At 43.1% G+C, this 20,535-nt stretch overlaps 1 protein-coding gene across 28 annotated transcripts in view, besides 3 other annotated features; it reads right to left on the bottom strand.

Annotated features, from left to right (window-relative positions):
- AUTS2 (activator of transcription and developmental regulator AUTS2) overlaps positions 1–20,535 on the bottom strand; it is a 1,195,032-nt gene that overhangs the window by 18,169 nt on the left and 1,156,328 nt on the right. For 5 of the 28 annotated variants that reach the window (NM_015570.4, XM_047420166.1, XM_047420167.1 and 2 more), the window contains 6 exons: positions 11,997–12,468; positions 10,333–10,586; positions 9,004–9,224; positions 7,270–7,314; positions 3,694–3,789; positions 1,239–1,310 (listed from right to left, as the gene is read on the bottom strand). In NM_015570.4, coding sequence (NP_056385.1) covers positions 1,239–1,310; positions 3,694–3,789; positions 7,270–7,314; positions 9,004–9,224; positions 10,333–10,586; positions 11,997–12,468 — 1,160 coding nt within the window. Of the gene's footprint in view, positions 1–1,238; positions 1,311–3,693; positions 3,790–7,269; positions 7,315–8,982; positions 9,225–10,332; positions 10,597–11,996; positions 12,469–20,535 lie in introns of those variants that run through there. The other 23 variants (XM_047420154.1, XM_047420165.1, XM_047420171.1 and 20 more) reach the window with 12 other exon arrangements.
- Positions 10,639–10,688: a silencer, noted in NCBI's record as "silent region_18234". NCBI's record gives its function as "represses an Ori minimal core promoter by ATAC-STARR-seq in GM12878 lymphoblastoid cells {active_cell/tissue: GM12878}" and the evidence as "EXISTENCE:reporter gene assay evidence [ECO:0000049][PMID:35858748]".
- Positions 10,929–11,298: an enhancer, noted in NCBI's record as "active region_26112". NCBI's record gives its function as "activates an Ori minimal core promoter by ATAC-STARR-seq in GM12878 lymphoblastoid cells {active_cell/tissue: GM12878}" and the evidence as "EXISTENCE:reporter gene assay evidence [ECO:0000049][PMID:35858748]".
- Positions 12,341–13,052: an enhancer, noted in NCBI's record as "H3K27ac-H3K4me1 hESC enhancer chr7:70227272-70227983 (GRCh37/hg19 assembly coordinates)". NCBI's record gives its function as "activates a minimal SCP1, AML or CMV promoter by ChIP-STARR-seq in naive H9 embryonic stem cells {active_cell/tissue: H9 hESC(naive)}" and the evidence as "EXISTENCE:reporter gene assay evidence [ECO:0000049][PMID:30033119]".

Here is a 20,535-nt window from a genome sequence, read left to right as displayed (position 1 = left end):
ACTTGGTTACATGCCTGTCACTCAAACAATTGCTCTAATTAACAAATTTGTAGTGCTTCATTAGGAGGGGAAATTAAAATGTTAGAATTTTACTTTTAAATGAAGCCCTTTTAGAGAATAATTAACCCATTTTCACACTATCAAAAGTGCCAAGTGTCCCCTCCCCCACTTCACAAGCCTTGGTACATCTACGCTGACAAGCCCCTGTACAAGTTTAATCAATAGCAATGTGCCCTCTGGCAACATGATTTGCTCACATCACACACCAGGAGTTTCACTGTTTTGAGCTCCAAACCACACCGGGTAGGTCTGAGGGAGAATGGCCTTCAGACCCCTGGCTTTTAAAGCTGTCTACTAACTGGTATCTGGGGAGAGGTGTCCTTTCCATCCATCCAGGAGAATTAGGCTCTCTTTACCAATACCCTTACATTGATGACTTTACATTATTTATAGCTATTAGACATTTTCCAGAAGTTCACTATACATCATGACATACTTACATAGTTGAGTCATTTTAAACTTCTATCTAACTCTGGTTATCAATTTCTGACTGCCCTTATGTAGGTAAAAAGACAATATTGTTAAAGATTTTTTCATATTTCGTATAAAGATGACTACAAATAACAATGAGGCAAGATTGTATCTATCGTATAACTTCAGATTCCTTTTTTGGAAGCAGGCAGTGGTAATAAATTATGAATAAACAACATAACCAAAGCATAATGGATATTTTATTTAGCTCTAGAGTACAAAAGGATCCCTAGCACATTAAAAATAGAGGGCCAAAGAGCCGTGCAGTACAATAACTTCCTGACCCCAGGCAAGCGGGGGGATGTGTGTAGCCTGACTTCCAGGAAGAAAAGCGCCTTAGTGCTTTTCCATTCAAAACATTCTGTAGCTACTTCATTTGTGTAAGACAATTTAAGGAGATACAGACAGAGAAGATTGGTTAAGTAAAAACTATACAAGCTGACACTGTCCAATTTCTGGGCTCAGACCGTAACTCATTCCTCTTTTCTCCCATCGGCAAGTCGGTCTCTTTGTGTCCTATGCTCGCAGTGAGCAGGAGAGACTGTGTTTTCTAAGAGTAATTGGCATTTTCTTCCACAAACTAGAAGAACAGCTGAAACAGCAGCTCGCTCAAAGGAGCTAAGGAAGATGCGAGCACTGGGCTGGCCGTCCCGTGCAAACACACACACCCTGGTGTTACCTGAGACCAAGCCTGACTTTGCACGTACCCTCGGGTCCTTTTGGAGTAAAGTGTGTGGGACTGTCCCAGGCCGAGCAGCGACATCGATAGGGTTGGATGTCTACAAATTAATTAGACCACAGCTTACTTAGGAAGCACAAAACAGGTGACATGAAAGCAAGATCCTTCCCTTCTGCTAAATGAGAGAAGCCAAACTTCATTTGTTTGTTTCCTTCTGAAACGCAAGATTCATTTTTCTCAGGGACCACACATGCTCTTTCTCAAGGGGGCCTGACCACAGCTTGCTCTCTCCAGCAATGGCATGTAAAAGCAGAGAGAGGTCCCCAGAACATTTCACTGCAATAAAAAGCACAGGACCAAAAAAGAGAAGCAACAAACGTAAATGCTGTCCTGGAACTCCTCTTCCTCTGAATGAACCCATGGCAGGGACTGCCACTGTTTTTTTGCTTAATCACCAAACATTCCAAGAAACGCTTAAGTGAACATTATTATAATTGGCAGTATCAGGTGTTTCTCATCAGAATAACTGGAAGTACTTTACAGACATTAAGCTCTCCGTTTTAACTGGTAGACAATAATAAGGAATTATACTCAGTAATTACTCATTAGCAGTGGTGGAAATGGGACAAGAGAACCTAATTTAGGGACCTTGCGGATCTGCTCTTTGATGATTTCTAAAGCAATTCTGCTTGCTCTTACCTATTCCCACCACCATTCTCAAATATTGCTAATATTAACCTTATCTGTGAGCTTCTGTCCTTTGAATTAGCAACAATAAAAAGCCTACTTTGGGCACAATCACTATTTCTAGTGGGAAAGGATTCAGGACACGACACCAGCTATTTTATGGAAGAAATCACAACTTCTATGAACACCCCCCACACCAGGAAGTTAAACTCGTGGGGAAAAGGAGCTCAAGTTTAGGCCCGAAGCTTGCCTACAAGGAGAAGGGGGGGAAAAGAATGAAAGAAAGAAAAGCAATCAGCTGCAGTACAACTAACAATTAAGCTGGAGTTGTTAACAACCTGATTTGCATACATATGAAGAACTCCACTAATGAACTGCAATCTACATATTCAATCAGGACGATGGCCTGGAAAGGCCTATTTCAACACCAGGAGAGACACTTTCTTGCCCAGATGTAGTTTTCTGTGTGATTGGATAATTGTGAGCGAGGGAAATAGTCTAATTTATTAAATGACCTACCAGTCTGTTTGGGGAGGCCCCAGAGATTTGGTGTAACCTAGAGGGGACAGACCAGGGTCTGAGGGAGTAGTGAGGTGCAGACTGGGGGAAGGAGTTTAAAATCACCATCATTTTATCTCCAGACAGGAGGTGTTTAACGAGGCAGTCATAAAAGCCCTGTATATCTGTAACCTTGCATATAGGCTGCAATTCAATGCAGGCAAATTCAATAGATGAACTGAATTCAATGCAATTCAATGCAGGTGATTTTGAAGGGGGAGGGGACCCCACCTCTAATGCCTTTTAATTCTTTTAATGAAACACGTCTTTGGAAATGCAGTTATGTGCTTATCCTGGAAGACTCTGGACCAAAACTGTGTTTTACCTTAGCCATGAGATGGTGGGGAAAAGAAAAACGAAAACCCAATGGCACACAGCAGAATATCTTCAAGTCTGAGAATGGTTACCCACATGAAAGTACGGCTCTTTTTATTTTTGTGTGAAGGTAAAATAGAAATTGTAAGTATATTTAAAAAGAGAGTGTTTCGAGAATGACTCTTCAATATTGACCTTTAGAGACAGCTGTAGCCAACGCTGGACGGCATTATCACTGACTAGGTAGAACAGAATTTGATTTTTATAAAGGATGAAAGGTTAATTTCACACTAGGATGTTAGTAACTGATGACAAAGTCTTGGCCTTGGCCAGTGTAACCATGGCAGGGGTGGGATGGCTGAGAGAGAGGGAGAAAGAAAGGAGGACCAAAATGGGAGGCGACCACCCCACCTGCCGGCAGGCCCTGTTTGCAGCCGATGGGGTTGGCGAGGGAAATGAGGGAGAATGAGAATTCATAGGATACAATTTTAGTTGTGGAACCTTTATCCCCACTTCTACTAAAATCAGTAAGGACCCAGCTTTGTGTCTTTACTAATTACATACACCTGCGGAACAACCTGGCGCACATGTGTCTGATATTTCATAGAATTCCTGACCAGAAGTTATGTCCACGATATTGGTAGTAAAAAAATAAATATTGTGTATATTTTGAAGAGCACAAGAAATCTTAGCTTAACTGAGATTATCTGGGTAGTACAGTTTGAAAAGTAAATTTTCACGGCCATTTAAAACTAGATGGACTTGGAAAAAAAAGAAAAATAGGCTCACTCTAATCCCAGTGGTCACTTAGGACCTGATTAATGAGTCACTGCACAGGCAAGAGGACGCAGAACTTCCTGCACGCCTGGCCCGGGACGCCACTTAGACACATGCCTGTGTGTTTTCACTGTGAGGTTTCTTACCTTCGGCTGAAATGCTCCTTGTAGTGAACCAAAAGGGCCAGTGGGTGGGATCATAGGGGGGATGCCCGACACTGCAGGAGGATAGGAATGGAAGAGCTGTGGCCAAAGACGGAGAGGGGGAAAAAAGATTTTAGTAGGAGGCAAGTGACATATTCAAATTCCCGTCCCATAGAAAGACATCGACATGAGCAAGCCACGTAATCTCAGTTTGATGCCATTAGTCAAGAAGCCATGATGGAATGATCACACAGACGTGCCACGAATGTGTAACTTAAAAAGTTAAAAGTAGTTCAGGATCAATCAGCCAGCAAATGACATCCCGGGTGAGGGCATCATTAGAAAGGGAGCTTTTCTAATTATTAATTGTTAAATCAGATAGAAGTCCTAAATGATTGGAGATTTTAATGCATTTCAAAAACAGGAGGGATCCTGAGCCAAATAAGATGCCCAGAAAATTACAAGTTAATTAGAGGGGGAAAAAGACAGAAAAAAGAAAAAAAAAGGGGGAAGAAAAAGAAGTCTTCATGAGTGCCAGGATTTTATACCATTAAAACTCAATTAGTACTTTCAGACTTTTAATAGTTTGAGGAAATGAGAGTATATTCACAATCCTTGCTTCATTAGGTTGTTGCAGAAGTGGCAGTTCCAGAGGACAATTTAATTCTCTCATCTAAAATAATGACAAATATTTGTGAAAGGGTAAAATAAAACGACTCGATGTATACTTTAAATGGAGCTGCCAATTTGTCTAGAAGATGGATTCTAGTTGCACAGAAATAACCCGAGTCTGGAATATCACTATCGAGCTTTCAGTTGCTCTTGTTTAAGTCTCAGGTACTCAAAGCACTTCCGTATTAACATATGAAGTCTGAGTTTTTATGGCCACTTCTGAATGGTATCTGCTATTAAATGAACAAGCTCTTTGGAGGATACTCAAGCCAAGCCCTTCACGTAGGAGTCCACTCTATGATGGTAAAAGAATGATTCTGAATGAAGACTATGAATTTTCCTGAATCAACAGCCTATAAAAGGACACAATTGAGGAAAAAAATACAGAGAATCTGAAGACAATGCAAACACAACTTTCCCTCCTTCTAAAAATTTAATCTTTTTGAGGTCCTATTGGTTTGTTTCCATTTATCAAGCCACCATACAAATATTTTAAATAATGCCCCACCTTCGTGGTGGTTTATTATGTCAAAATTACAACAATAATTGAAGCTCGTCTTAATAAAGTATTTGTGTTAGTTATTTTTGGTAATGACTGAAATTCACATTTCGCAATCCCGTGTTCAGAGCACGTCCTTTTTCTGTTGGTCTTTATTTCATTTTGCTCCCTTCAATGATGCAGCAAAGTTTTTCAGACTAATTGATATTGAACTAAATCCACTTAAACAGTGATTGCAAGCCAAGTGCCCTCATTTAAAACTACTTTTAAGTCTAAAATTGTGTTTTAGATACTTGAGTGCATTGCATCTTAATTCCCCTTATAATGTCCTAATCCCCAAAGCAGGGGAGACTGAGTACTTCATATATTATCCACTATAACTCCTAATATGAAATAACTCTCCCACAGTACACTGAATAAAGCTGAGTAATTAAATACATGCCCCAGTGAAACACACTCAAATTTCTAGTATTCTGCCTCCAGGTGGGCTTTTCCCTTTAATGTTTACAATTTAAAAACTGGATGTTCTTACCACTTTCTTTTTGCTTTATTCCATCATTGACCTCTTAGAATATAAATATAGCTGACTATTCCTCCCCCTGACTAAAAACCTGAAGCGCCTAAGTAATAATACATACACCTTCCAAAAATTCAGGCCTCCAGGCTTATTCTCCATCTTTGGCCTAGGACTGTAGAATATGCGTATCAGAAGGCACCGCAGTGGGTCCTAGAAAGTAAATCTGAGCCACTTTTTGGGTGCTCAACTTTCTATATTAATTATTATTATTTTTTGAAATGGAGTCTTGCTCAGTCGCCCAGGCAGGAGTGCAGTGGAGCCGTCTCAGATCACTGCAAGCTCCGCCTCCCGGGTTCACGCCATTCTCCTGCCTCAGCCTCCCGAGTAGCTGGGACTACAGGTGCCCGCCACCACGCCCGGCTAATGTTTTGTATTTTTAGTAGAGACGGGGTTTCACCGTGTTAGCCAGGATGGTCTCCGTCTCCTGACCTTGTGATCCGCCTGCCTCGGCCTCCCAAAGTGCTGGGATTACAGGCATGAGCCACTGCACCCAGCCTGAATTATTTTGTTAGCTGGTCCTTACTTTAAATCAGCAGAGTATAGACTAAGGGCAGAATGGTGGCATCCATGGGCCAGACCCAAAGAGGAAACCCATAGGTCTACTGGGCTTTGGGTGTCCCCGTGAAATATGTTTTTGTATTCTGGTACTGAGCAGAACAGCGGGGACCATGTTGGGAGGGAGGGGGAGGAGGCATCACTCAAATACACTTTTCTAACTTCTTTTTGAAGAGGTCTTTCATCTTACGTTATTTCTAAATGCCCCTAGAGTACATAATTTTCAATTGATTTCTAATATTTTCTAGCCTTGACTTCTCAGCTAACCTCTTGACTAACATGGTATCTAATTATCTGGTTCAGAATATGAATGAATTCAGTCTTTGCTGATCTATTAAAGTAGCACTTCTCAAATGATAACACTATCTACAAACCTAAGCAAGAACAGTTGAGTATGGTGAATCAACACGGCTACAAGCATGATTAACCTTCTCTTTTTTCTGGTTTCATTAAAAAAAAAAAAAAAAGAAATCACTGGCAAAGAAACTTGCAAATTTTCAGATAAAAATGATGCAGTATTCACCCCATCATCAAAATATCATGGAAATATTCAAGGTCTTTGAATAAAAATAAGCTCTTGTCTTACAAGTTAACTGAACCTATAACTTAGGGTGTTATCAATTGAAGTTCCAGAACATACTCTTAAAATGGCATAAAACAAGTTTTTTTTATTTTTTTTAAATAAAGGAGAATGAGTTTAAAGAGAAAATATCACTCATTTCAATTTTGGGAGTTTCTTTTAATTAAGTGATATTTTTACTTTCTATTGTAACAAACTCAACAGAACAATACCAGCCATGTGGAAGAAGGTTCTACATTTAGTCTAGAGCAAATGAAAATCTACTTGTTGAAGAGTCATGAGTCAAAAAGACAAGGGACTTTCTATTTAAGAGGAAATAATTCAGGTTGCATTCCAGAACTTCTGTGTTAGTGGCATTTCAACTGACGACTGAAATGCTGTGATTTCAGACTCTCCTGGAACTCTACTGACTCCATTGCAGACATCTCACTTTGCAGGACAGATGCCTGACTGCCACTAAAGAGCAACTCTGCTTTCAAGCCTTTGGAATGCTTATGATCTTTTGATTCAGAAGATGATACTGCATCTTTACCAAAAGCAAAACACCACAAAAGCAAGCATCCAAAGTGGCGAGGAGCAATGGGAACTCTTGCAAAGATGATTAAGGAAGGCTGCTAGTCATTGACTGATCTGTGGCAAGAGCACAAAAATGGCAAAGCAGTTACATTCAATGTGTAGCATGGTAATGAAACTCACACTGTGCCGGTAGAATGGGTCAACTTTTGTAGGGTATTTGTCAAACTGTAAAGGGATCAAAGCAAAAGCTAGTTACTTAATCTGCATTTTTGTTCACTGCTACAGTGGAGGTGGCCCTACAAAGCTTCCCTGTCATTAAGCTGTCATGAGACCCCATAACCTCATTACATATGAAACCATTCTGAGCTCCTGAGTCTCCCTGACAAGAAGCCAACAGAAATGGAAGAACAAAATTAAAAACCAAGTGGTACGTTTTAGTTCTGCACGTACTAGGATGCCTTTCTTCCTACTATTTTCTTTCTACAGATTGGCACGAACCAAACCTCTAAACAGGAGAGAACAGCCAATTATCCAGATAAATCAGAGAGAGGTGAGCATTTGGTCTGATTTACCCAGTGAATTCCCCCTATTTTCATCTTCACTTTGGCAGAAAAACTGTCTTGCCATGCAGCTGTCTTCTGAAATGTATTATACCCAAATACAAAGTGATCTGGGGTAGGCCAGACAGCCTTTCATTGGAACAGAAAAAGAGTATACTATTGTTCCCTCTAAATAATGTCATCATATTGATGCTATAACTACCTTTGGTTAAATTTATTTGTGAAACAGCTCACACAGGCCAGCAGAAAACTTTCTCAAAATCTTAGGATCTTCAAAATCTAATTGTTAAGTATAATTCATCCAAAAAAGAGATACAGGATTTGCTATTAAGAACATATTTCTGGTCACAAGGCCTCATTGCTAATATTCCTTGAAATGAAATTTATAAAACAAACTTTAAAAACACATTTTTAAAAAGTAAGTTAAACAAGATGGGGGGAGGGAGAGGAAGGAGAGGAAGCAAAGTTGGGTGAAGTGGACTCCTTTTAAAATCATGCAATTTATTCTCACAATGCCTATAGTAATGGCCTTAAAATCCAGTATTTCCTGAAATATTAAAAATTAAATAAGTAAAAAATGACTCTAATACTCACTGTTAGACAGGACTCTATCTGAGAATATTTAGCATTCTAATATGGCACTATGAATTATCGTTATTAACTTAAAAAAAAATTCCTCACTGGTTCTGGACATGTGCTAGCCCCCAGTTAAAGCAAGACCATGTCATGGCCAGTGGTTCCTCTTGCCCCAAGGCAGAGCGTTCTGTCCCTGCGGGGATCCCTGAACACTGGCTGACAGAGCACAATACCAGATTAGGGACTGTCTTATGAAACACAAGAAATATAACACCTCCAACAAAGTGGGTTTAGGGAAGCCATCGGAATGCACAGGTGGCACCCAATGCAGTCCCAGCCTCCTGGCAGAGGTCTCTCTCCCTTCTCTTCTCTCTTCTTCACCCCCATTACCCTGCAAGAATGTATGTGCTAGCACTTGATGCAAAGCACAAGCAGGTGCATTTTCTGCCTGGTGACAGTCCCCCGGGAAGTTCAAGAAAACTAAACAACCCTTTAAGAAGTTAGCCATCAACACTGGACATGACTGTTTTGAGGGCAGATGGAATCATTTCCGCCCGCAGTGCTGGATACAACTGCCTAGAAAGAAGTTCCTACTTTAGGCCCCTGAAGTCAGAGCTGCCTGAGGCAGGGCACTAGGACACATTCCCTTCTCTCCAGCCAACAGCCGTCAGTCCCCATTCGATCTCTGGTGGCCCCGCTGCCCAGCCCGGTCCCACGTGCTGCATAAAGAAAAGAGTCGTGCTCTACTTATCCTCACATTTCTGCCTGGGGTACGCACCATGGGAGGTGCTGGCGTCGGCATGATGGCGGTGGGTGGGATGGCGTGGGGGAACGGCGTGAAGGTGTGCTGGTGCGTGTGCTGGTGGGTGTGCTGGTGCTGGTGCTGGTGCTGATGGAACTCGGTCCGCAGGTAGGGCGGAGGGCCCAGGGAAGCCCCGCGGTCAGCACTCTGAGAGGCCAAAAAACGAGTGTTCAGTTCCTGTCGCAAGATGTCTTGCTCTGGAAGAGAAGAAGAGGGAGACGATGACGCCTTTTCCTTCAGAAAAGGACATCGGACTGCCTTCCTGTGGAGGGGTACGGGGCTGGTGACACAGTGGCAGGGGTGACAGGGTGTGGCTGGGCCCTGAGATAAACGGGGGCAATCAATGAAGCAGACGAGACCAAGGCCCGGTCGCACCCTGTCTCCCTGTTCTCTAGCTGGTCTCCCAGCTTTCAGGGACAGGCAGTCTATCAATCTGGGGAACAAACTCCAGGCCAAATGCCAAAGTCCGATTTCCAGCTGTCACCACTGGCTGAGTGACCCTGGGCATGGCAAATAACCCATCTGAGGGCCAGTTTTCCCATCTCCAAGAGGGGGACAATAATATTGCCTAACTCATGGGTTTGATTTTTGAGGGTTAAAGCAATTTGCACGTTTAAGTGCTTGGGAACAGTGATAGCACACTAATAAATGTCAGCTGTTCACACGGCAGGGCTCGCATGTCCTCTTCAAGTGTCAATTACTGCTATATGGCTCTCTGTATTGGCGGCATAACATGGCTACACTGGACCAAAACTGGGACGCTTGACCTGATTAACACAGGTGAGGAGACAAGGACCCTGTGTCTAACATGAGATCTGCCCTTAAAATTCTGGGATATATTGTCACAAAGAGTGTGTCATCTCCTCCCAAGGAGACAGGAGAAGGCCCTGCCCTGCCCAATGAAAAGAAACCCCTTAAACCAGGACACAATCTAAGATCCTGGAGCGAGACAGACATGGGCTTGGGGACGCTTCCATCGCCCTCAGGGGAGCCCAGACGACACGGGACACACTACCTGGGTCTGACCACTCAGTGGCTGAATTTAGCTGGAAATGCCTCCTAACTCCAAACAAACCCACTCTCTTCGGGCAGTGTCTGATTCACAGGGGCTGAGCTAGCTTAGTATGGGTGCTGACAGGTATTTTTGCTGGACCTCAGGCCAGAGAGCGTTTGAGGAAGATCACAGTAAGGAAGGAAAAAATTGTAGGCAAATGCAACCTTGCAATCGGGACAACATAGGTAGGGTGAGGTCACAGCGAGGGGCGGTGGGGGTCGGGGTCACGAGCACAGGCCCCTCCGTCCTACCTGAGTAAGTGCTCCCGGCCGGGTGTCCGGCCACCTGCAGACTTCCTGATGTCAGTGGTGGTGGAGGAGGCAGAGCAGTGGGAGGGGCAAACATATTGGGGTGATGTGAGTGTGCGGGGGGCTGGAGGGTGGGTGTGAAGCTGTGCAGGGGGCTGTGGTTGGGCAGGGAGAGGGGGAACGGGGAGGCAGAGGGGTGGTGGGAGATGTGAGGTGGGGCGGGCTGAGTCTTCGCTGGAGTGCTGCTTCTGCTGCTGCTATCGGAACAAGAAAAAAAAGAAAAGAAAAAAATAAAAAAAGGTAAGCAATGTATTCTCTTTAAAAGAATCCTACCTCCTTCCCCTAAACCCTCACCACAGTCTCTCTTGCCCCTTCCTCTTTACAGATCCTCCCTGTACGAGCACACTTTCTGAAATCACAACTCCTGCAAACTTTCCCATCGCTACTGCAGACAGAGCAAACCGAAACTGCTGCTTCAGGGCTGTGGGGCATCTTGGTGTCGAGACAGCTCATTCTGCCTAAACCTCAGGGCCTCTCTCGCTCCTGTGGCCAGATTCTCATCAATGCCCCTAGAAAATCCCCAGCCTTCCATCCTCCACTAGCTACATCTCCTATAAAGCAACGGTTAACAAAAAGGAATAAAAAAAGCGATGATCTGAGTTCCCCCCATCTGTCTTGTTACCTCTTAAATGAAGACACACAAAGAAGAGGTGAAACCCAGGTGCCTGGGTTCTCACATCACTTTATGGTCTGGAGGCCACAGAAACGGCCGAGGGGGCAGAAGCCGGGCCCGGCTCCTTGGGGAAGGAGGAAACCTGCCCCCCAAAGACTGTGCTTTCCCCTCTTAGGAAAAAGCAAGGCCCGGAACCACCAAAGCCACCAGGTTTTCAAAAGAAAAACAGTAACAAAGACACACAGCCTCAGGAGCTGTGCCGGGTTAGAATTATAGCCCCCGGGGCACCAGGGCTCGGCTCTACTTGGCGCTGCACACTGGGTTTCTGCCTCTCTTTTCTTTGCTGTGTTCCTCTGTGCTGCTTTTTAGACGCTTCTTTGTAACTTGGCAAAAACAAGACAGAGGAGAGAGCCTGGATTTCCATAAAGAAATTTCTCACTTTCTCTAAATGCAGCTTGTTTTGTTTCTTCCCTACTTCTCTGACCCACATAGGAGGAAGTAAATCAGAATGAAAAAAAAAATCCTTAAGCTGGAATACTCATCAGGTCCCAATCTTCCTGCCTTTGGAGCTGCAGGGAGACGAGTTTTCTTTAACACTTCTTCCATCAGAGGCAGAGAGCCTCTCTTGAAAGGATCTGCTCACACTGCATGGCCTCTGATATGCCCCAGGCTTCGACTCCCTGCCTCCCACTGCTGCTGGGTCTCCCTGGCCCAGGGCTTTCCAAGCCTTCCTCTCCTTCCGCCTCCACTCTCGAGTGCCCATAAATATTTTACTTCTTTACAATGTCCTCACCACCCACCCATCCCAACCTGTCCTTTCCCAAGAGACCCGAGTCTCACCCAACAGCCCCATTCCCTGTCTCTAGTCTCAGAGAAAAGGATGATGTTTCCAACAAGGAAACCTCAGTCTCCCTAGGGATCCCTCCCCGACTCCCACCCACCTGATCCCCAGGGAGAGGGCAAAAGTCAGGCCAAAGAAGAGCAGGCCACTCACCTTAAACTGTTGAGGCTTAAGCTACTGCTGTTGTAGGCTGACAATGGCTGGGAGAGGCTCTGAGCAGAGGGGTGGGCCTGCACAGGTGGGAGGTTCTGATGGAGCAGCTGGGTGGGGGACTGTGGCCTGGGTGGCCTCTGCACCTGAGGCTGCGGGGCAGGCTGGAGCTGGGCCTCAGGAGGGCCCTGTGGTGGCTGTGTACTCAGAGGTGGGGGTTGAGGTGGGGCCTCTGTGCGCTGCACCAAGTCAGGGTCCGGAGAAGGAGCTCGGAGTTGGGGCTCCGTCTGCGGCTGGGGTATTGGCTGTGCGACCTGAGGGCAGGGGTCTTTAAGCACCACAGGCTCAAAGATTGGCTCTTTGCAACAGTCCTGGCTCTTCTCCTGGCTTCTCTCTAGACCCGATATCTTGGGGACAATCGGCCCTGCATCCTGGCTGTCATGTTCTGGTAGCGTGCCAACACCTAACTCCGGATCTGCATGGGAGAGAGCAAAGACAAAACCACAGGCAATGACATGCGAGTGTGGCATAAGGAGGGAAAGGAAACTCCAAGGCTATCACACAACTCCAGCAACAGGACCTGGCACCAACCCTCCTGGCTTGGGTCCTTGTCTCCACCACCTGCGGGGGTATGCGCCCACAGCAAATGGGGTCAATGGTGGACAGAGAAAGATGCAGGAACAGCCTTTGACCATGGGGAGCAATGACCCTGGGGGTGTGGGAAGGGAGAGAAAGGCCAACTGGCCAGAGGAGACTGCATTCAAGAAAGTAGCCTAGCGCCAGGCATAGGGGCTCACACCTGTAATCTCAACACTTTGAGAGGCCGAGTTGGAAGGATTGCTTGAGCCCAGGAGTTCGAGACCAGCCTGGGCAACATAGCAAGACCCTGACTCTACAAAAAAAAAAATTAGCCAGGTGTGGTGGTGTGTACTACAGTCCAAGCTACTCGGGAGGCTGAGGTAGAAGGATCGCTTGAGCCCAGGAGTTCAAGAGCACCCTGGGCAACGTAGCGAGACTCTGTCTCTGTATGAGAAAAAACAGCAGCCTAGACTACATTCTGAAAATGAATGTTTTCCTTAATCTCCAGAAAGTCTTTTATGGCATCACAATTAAGAAACAATAGTTGACAAGTTGATTTTTCCCTTTTAAAACAAATACATTTGTTGAACATACAAAAGAGAAGTGTTTTCTATTGAAATGAGTCAAACATTATTTAACATCACACGGATGTTTTTTCTTGGCCTTCCCTTCCTCCCCACTTTCCATTTTGACCAAAGGGACACACTTGACATTTACAGATAATTTTTTGTTCAGCAAGTGCTCAACTTCCAAGTGAAAAGGCAGGTCTCTTAATGCCCGTCACCTGATCCCAGCAACTTCTGAGATCAAAGGTGCAAACGGGAACTGAAATAAAGTTTCCCATCAACTACACTTGCTAGAGCTTTTAAGAAAGTCCCCTGGGACCACATGGGGTTCCCCACTCAACCAAGTTAAAGGGGTGCTGGACATTGAGACTAACCTTGGATATTAAATTTAAGTGAAATTCTACAATCGTGAAAGAAATATAGAAAATAGCTGCTCCTGTATGGATGTAAAAGATGTACTCCCTCCAAAGGTCAAAAGATCTCCCTCCAAAGGTCAAAAGGGCCACATTTAGTAGAATGGCTTGATTACCCCATAAGCCAAACTCCATAAAAATCTCAAAACAGAATAACGAAAGACCAGTAGGGCACTCAATAGAAAAGAATGGCCCCATTTGGGAGTAAGTACTTTTGTATACAACTGGGGGAAAATTATCCTTCCCATATTTTTGTGCTGAAAAGATGCATCCTTTTATTACTACACAATTTCAAAAGAGAAAAAGAATAGATGACAACATCCTTTGAAATGAAGGTGTTTTTCAGGCATTCTTAAATGAACTGCCCTGGGCGTTAACTTTCTCCTCTTACCTCATTGTATCAAACGGGAAAAGTATGTGGTATTCTTGTTGGTTCTATGTATTTCTGGGGTTTTCTGTTTTTTGTTTTAGAGGTGGGGTCTCCCCAGGTTGTTTAGGCTGGACTGTACTGGATATTCACAGGTGTAATCACAGCACACTACAGCTCCAACTCCTGGGCTCAAGTGATCCTCCTGCCTCAGCCTCCTGGGTAGCCAGGATTAGAGGTGCCTGCACTGTGCCCGGCTTACATATTTCTGTTTACGTACTGTTGTATATACACACTTGTTTGCCATTATTCCTTGGAATTCTCATCAAAGCAATTCATTATTTTCAATGTTCTTTTGGTAACACAGATCAAACCGATAACATGCACAAAAGCAAAAACAAAACTTGGGTTTATAAACAAAGCAAATTTTTGGCTAACAGAACTTGGCTATCTTCAGGTCTCTCCAAACAGCCTGGAACAATAACACCAGCGAGATGGGAAGAAAGCTGCCTTCTTCACATGCTTCAGAGGTATGAAAAGACCGAGCACTTGGCAAAGCGCTGATGAAAAGTAACTCTGGACTTCCGACATTTCTGTCCAGTGCTGTCTTATCAACCTTTCTGGGAAGATTTTTGCTTAGGATAAAGCTGAAATTGAAAGGCTTCTCAAAACCTTTGTTCCTAACTTCAGGGCTAAAGGGGCACCCCAAGCCCTTGCTGCGGATAGGTCCCCATCCAGCTAGCAAAGCTCCTGGATCCAATGAGGAAGGAAGGCCCTTTATTCAGAGATGTCACAGTTAGGGATCCAGCTCTGTGTCTCTCCATGTGTCTTCACAAAATTTCCCATATTTTTCTTTCACAGGATTTTCCCACAGCAAGCTATTATCAAAGGCATTGAAAAATCACGTGCTTCATATGCATGATCCAGGCCTTTGAGTCAGGTCTGGGACAGAAAGTAAGAACAGCCCAGAAATCCTAACAGCACAAAACAGAGGAGGGGTTTCACCCAGTGAGAAGTTCTAGGTACATGAGCAGGACTCTTCTCACACTGACAGCTAATTCAGGATTTTTATGCTTGGTACAATGGCAGAAACACTTTTTAAAAATCTTTTTGTAGGCCGGGTGCGGTGGCTCACGCCTGTAATCCCAGCACTTTGGGAGGCCAAGGCGGGCGGATCACGAGGTCAGGAGATCGAGACCATCCTGGCTAACACGGTGAAACCCTGCCTCTACTAAAAACACAAAAAATTAGCCGGGCGTGGTGGCGGGTGCCTGTAGTCCCAGCTACTCGGGAGGCTGAGGCAGGAGAATGGCGTGAACCTGGGAGGCAGAGGTTGCAGTGAGCTGAGATCACACCACTGCACTCCAGCCTAGGCGACAGTGTGAGACTCCGTCTCAAAAAAAAAAAAAAATCTTTTTGTATTACTCTGTTTTCTCCAGACTGGGCTGGTGAAGACATCAATAAATACTTTCTATCTTGGTAAGTATACATTCAAATTCCCTCCCAAAATCAGCTTCCTTTTCCAAAGGACACCACTTGGAGTATATCATTCACACTTACTTATGCTGGTAAGGAGGCACATCAGAGACACATAAGGAAGTACTACAGATATCTAGCTTGACTCTGTTTACCTCCTTGTTCTTGAACGAGCCTCAAGAATTTGGATAACACAGCCAAGCTTGCAGATGGCATCCTGCAGGCGTGGGCTCGCTTCCCAAGGCCCCGGAAAGGCCACTGGAGTTGACTTTCTTGTCTCCTCTGTTGCCTCACTGTCTCAATCTCAACCTAACCACAGCTAGAACATGAGGAGTGGTGCCAAGGCTGTGGCCGTCAGCACCACCTCCAACAAGCTACCAGAGATGAAGGGAAGACCCCAACCTCTCCAGGGAACCCTGCAAATCTGTACGGCACTCCTTTAACTTTAATGCATGTTCAAATCACCTGAACATCTGATTAGAATCCCCATCCAGATTCCACAGCTCTGGGATGCGGCTCTAGATTCTGCCTTTCTGAGGATCTTCTAGGTAAGGCTGAGGCTGCTGATGTGAGGATCACATTTTGAGTAGCAGGATCTAATCTAACACTCTCTGACCAGATAGGGAATATGCCCAGAGAAGTGAAGGAACTTGCTTGCTGGAAGTCACGTCCTTGTTTTGTAAACCAGAAGGCTTGAGTTCCAGTCCCAACTCTGCCAACACCAACTGCCTTTTCTCCAATCTATACTATGCTGCCTCCTAAAAAGCAGAAGTCTCAAAGCAAAGCAGGTAATGATAAATCCAGGATTCAGTTAAAATATTTAAGTACATCAGACTTAAAGTGTAGAGGGTTAGTAAAGCTACAAAGAGTGGCTGTAACACTGCACTTCAGCCAGCCCTGAAAGCAATCAGTCCATCGTTGCTCTGGTACTGCAACCTATAAACAAAGCAGTGATGAGTTTGAGCTGGTAAGAACTTCGGGGGCTGAAACAGTTTTATGACTCCCCATTTACAAGAGTCTCTTGAGGCACAGGCGTCAGGCATTTTTGTGGCTAATCGGTAATGCATTTCCTCTTCCTTTCAATTATTCAATAAATGTATCTTCCCAGTTAAGCTTTTCCATCTTGACAGTCAATTTGTCTTACTGTACTTCTCCAAAATTGGCAGCAACACATTTTAAGAAATCGCTTGGTATTGCACTGCATACTCTGAATTTGCCAAAGGATAAAGGAAAGAATGAAAGTTGCTGAATTTGAAAGACATAAGAATGTACAAATTGAGTAGTCTTATTTAAATGTTGTATTCATTACATTTTGGGGTTTAAAACTCTCTCTTCTTGTGATTATAAAAATAGTTCATCATGCTTATACTAAAATACATGCAAATTCAAATTACATTGCGTACTTTACGGTAAAAAGGGTGAGTTTATTGCATGTAAATTGTACCTCAATAAACAAACTTTAAGAGATTAGGAAAAATTGGTTTCATTTTGATATAGGTTTGATACAAGTTGCCTGGGGAAAATGGGCCCTTTTTTTGTACTTTACTAGTAGAATGCAAACTCTACAACCTCTGTGGAGGTTTAGCAAAATAACAAATGGAGTTCCCTTGGTGTGGTGTGTTAAGGATTTAGTCTACAGACACAATGAAATAGTACCATGGTTTGAATACCAAGTTTGGAAGCCACCTAAATGTAACCATTAGGAGACTGGTTACGTATGTTTGCAGATCCACACAATGGAACACCTTGCAGCTGTAAAAAAGAATGCCGAATGTACAACGTAGAGCATTTACTATCTTTTGTGGAAAATGGAGGGAAATAATATATATATTCATCTTATTTTACGTACAAAGAAGCCGTGTGGCTGGGCGCAGCGGCTCACGCCTGTAATCCTAGCACTTTGGGAGGCCGAGGCAGGTGGATCACTTCAGGTCAGAAGTTCAACACCAGCCTGGCCAACATGGTGAAACTCCATCTCTGCTAAAAATACAAAAATTAGCCAGGTGTGGTGGTGTCTGCCTGTGATCCCAGCTACTTGGGCGGAGGGTGCAGTGAGCTGAGACTGCACTACTTACGCTCAAGCCTGAGTGACAGAGCAAGACCCTGTTTCCAAAAAAAAAAAAAAAAAAAAAAAAAGAAGCCATGGAAGAATACTCAAGAAAACAGTAACAGCAGTGACTACCTGTTTAGGGGCTTGGGAGGAGTGAGAACTGGATAGACAGGGAACTGGGGTGTGTGTGTGTGTATATATGCATAAAAAAATAAGAAAATGTAATCTGTGAATGTGTAATAAATTTGAAAATAAAATGGATTTTATGAAAAAATATAAATTGCTAAAATTGACTTAAAAACCCAACAGGATCATCAAAATAAAAGGAAAAAGTACTCAATAATCCAAACCTTCACCTCCCCTCCCAAAAGGTATCTGTTTCACAGACAATGTTGGCCAAACCTTTAAGAAACAAATTATTCCTGTCAACTAAATTGAAAACCAACAGCAAATATTATACAACAAAAGAAAGAGGAAAAACTGTTTACAAAAAATATAATTACCTAGCTGGAAAACAGAGGCAACCAGCTGAGAAAATATTAGAACTAATAAGAGAGTGCAATGAGATATCCAAATAAAGAAAAACCACAACCAACCTCAGCTTTTCTATACACCAGCAACAGTCAGAAAATGAAGTTTAGAAAGGATCCACTTCATAATAACAAAAACCATAACACCTGGGAATGAACCTAACAAGAAAATTACAGGGCTTGTAAACCTTCAGAAATGGCTTCCCCCACAAAATTGCTTTTTTCAAAGTGTTTTTCAGTGCAAAAAAGCGCGAACTAAGTCAGTCACGTAATAGATAGTTCCCATTGGAGGATACTACTCCCTATGGGAAGAGATGGAAATTTGTGGGAGTGTGTGGCTATCACTATGACTGCAGGTCACTGGTGGCTCTTAGGGATGTCTGATTTGCTGCAACGTGCGCAGCAACCCCACACGACAACATCTCAATGCACTTCCTAAATTCCACCCGACATTTGTGCAGCTGAAAACCCTAGAACCCACCACCTCTGTTTTTGTATATAAACACAAAGTAATTCTTTGCATGGGTTTTAATATACGCTGATTTTTCCAGGAATGCAGGGACTGTACTTTGTTATATCTGGGTCATATGCAAGGGTTGATGGCTATTTGGGAAAATCATGACACAATGGTAAGGCTGCTCCAGGTATCTGAATCTCCATGACCATGTATTTGTGTGAGTCTGCATTTGTAGTAGAAGTATTTAGATACCATTCTAGATATAAAGTCAAACATTGTCTTCTAATATAAACAAGCACTTACATACTTAAAGGTATGTTATTATAAATGACTTGGTTTCCACTTATTTCTCCTTTATATTTTATTAGGGCTTTATATATACTTTTAAATTATGTATGTAGATGGGTACATTAAGTATCTATTTCATTCCAGAAAGTAAAAAATGAATGCGCTATAAAATATTTCTTATTATTATGCTGGGTCTGGTAGGGTTGAGATTCGGTATACTCTGATGAACTCCTACACTTCTAAAAGTCCAATGACTTACTGCACAAATGCAGTAACAACCTCCTAGGGTGGTTGTGGAAATAAATTAGGCCATGTAAAGTGCTTTCCACAATGCACAACACATAATAAGTAAGTAATCAATCAATATTCCCAAAACTATTGTGAAGAAGTATTTAATGTCACAGAAAATATCTCATGACAAAATTGCCATTAAATAAAGTGCACTATTATCAGTGTGATCTCAATAGTGAAAACTACGTGTGTAAATGTATACAAGTATGCACAGAAAAGAGACTGGAAAGATAAACATTAATTGCAGTCCCATCATCCAGAAATAAACATTGACTTTAATTCTCATATTGTGCTTTTAACTTTCAAAATTGAGGAGGAGGAGGAGGAAAAGTGCAAAACAAATGAATATTATAGAAAATTTGGAAAGTTAAGCACAATATAAAAATTAAAGTCAATGTTCACTTTGTTATTAAACACAGCAAATAATTATATATAGTTATTAAATAATAGTATTATTTACTGTAATTAGTAAAGTATACTTATTAAATTTTTATTAAAGTAAATAAGAGTATTATTATTGTTAAAGTAAAAAAAGAGATGCTATATTTTAAAATTAACTCTTTTCGCGGACAATACACCTCTACCATTAAAATAAGCCAACTGAGAAAGTGATCGTTCAAGTCTTTTTAAATTGCCTTACCTACTGAATTTTTTTTTTGAGATGGAGTCTCACTCTGTCGCCCAGGGTGGAGTGCAGTGGCATAATCTTGGCTCACTGCAGCCTCTGCCTCACCTCCCAGGTTCAACTGATTCTTCTGACAACCTTCCGAGTAGCTGGGATTACAGGGGCCTGCCATCATGCCCAGCTAATTTTTGTGTTTTTAGTAGAGATGGGGTTTCACCATGTTGGCCAGGCTGGTCTCGAACTCCTGACCTCAAGTGATCCACCCCCGCCTCGGCCTCCCAAAGTGCTGGGATTACAGGCGTGAGCCACCATGCCTGGACTATTGAATAGATTTTTTAAAAATCTCTTCACCAAGAGGACAGATAAATATTTGACTCTGTGTATGGTGCATAGTTTTAATTTTTAAAAATATGGTGCATGTGTTTAAAAAAAAAAAAAGTTAAAAGGGTCTTGCTCTGTCGCCCACGCTGGAGTGATCATAGCCCATTGCAGCCTCAAACTCACATGGTGAAGTGATCCTCCCCACTCAGTCTCCTGAGGAGATGGGACTACAGGCACACATCAGAACATGGTGCATATTAAACCTTCCACCTGTTCTTCAGAATTTCTAACTGGTTCTAACTGGGTATTATTTGGACAGAAAGGAAAGGGTGAATATTGATGAAGGAGGAGGAGGAATACAAAACAAAAACAAAAATACACAAAAAACCAACTCTCCCAAAGTACAGCTTCTGCACTTCTGGTCTTCACATCTTCATATTCTGTTACGAAGTCTCCTAACAGGACTTACTAACTACAAGGTCATTACCGCAGCAAACCTGAAGAAGCTTCCAAAGGCATCAAGAAAACTATGTGGGGGGCACTAGCTCCTAGAACATCCATCCATCCATGCATCATCCA

The sequence above is a fragment of the Homo sapiens genome, chromosome 7 (genome assembly GCF_000001405.40).
Source record: "Homo sapiens chromosome 7, GRCh38.p14 Primary Assembly".
In the NCBI taxonomy this organism is placed as follows: domain Eukaryota; kingdom Metazoa; phylum Chordata; class Mammalia; order Primates; family Hominidae; genus Homo; species Homo sapiens.
The sequence above is the reverse complement of the archived record's forward strand: the minus strand, read 5'-3'. Positions and strand labels throughout refer to the sequence as shown.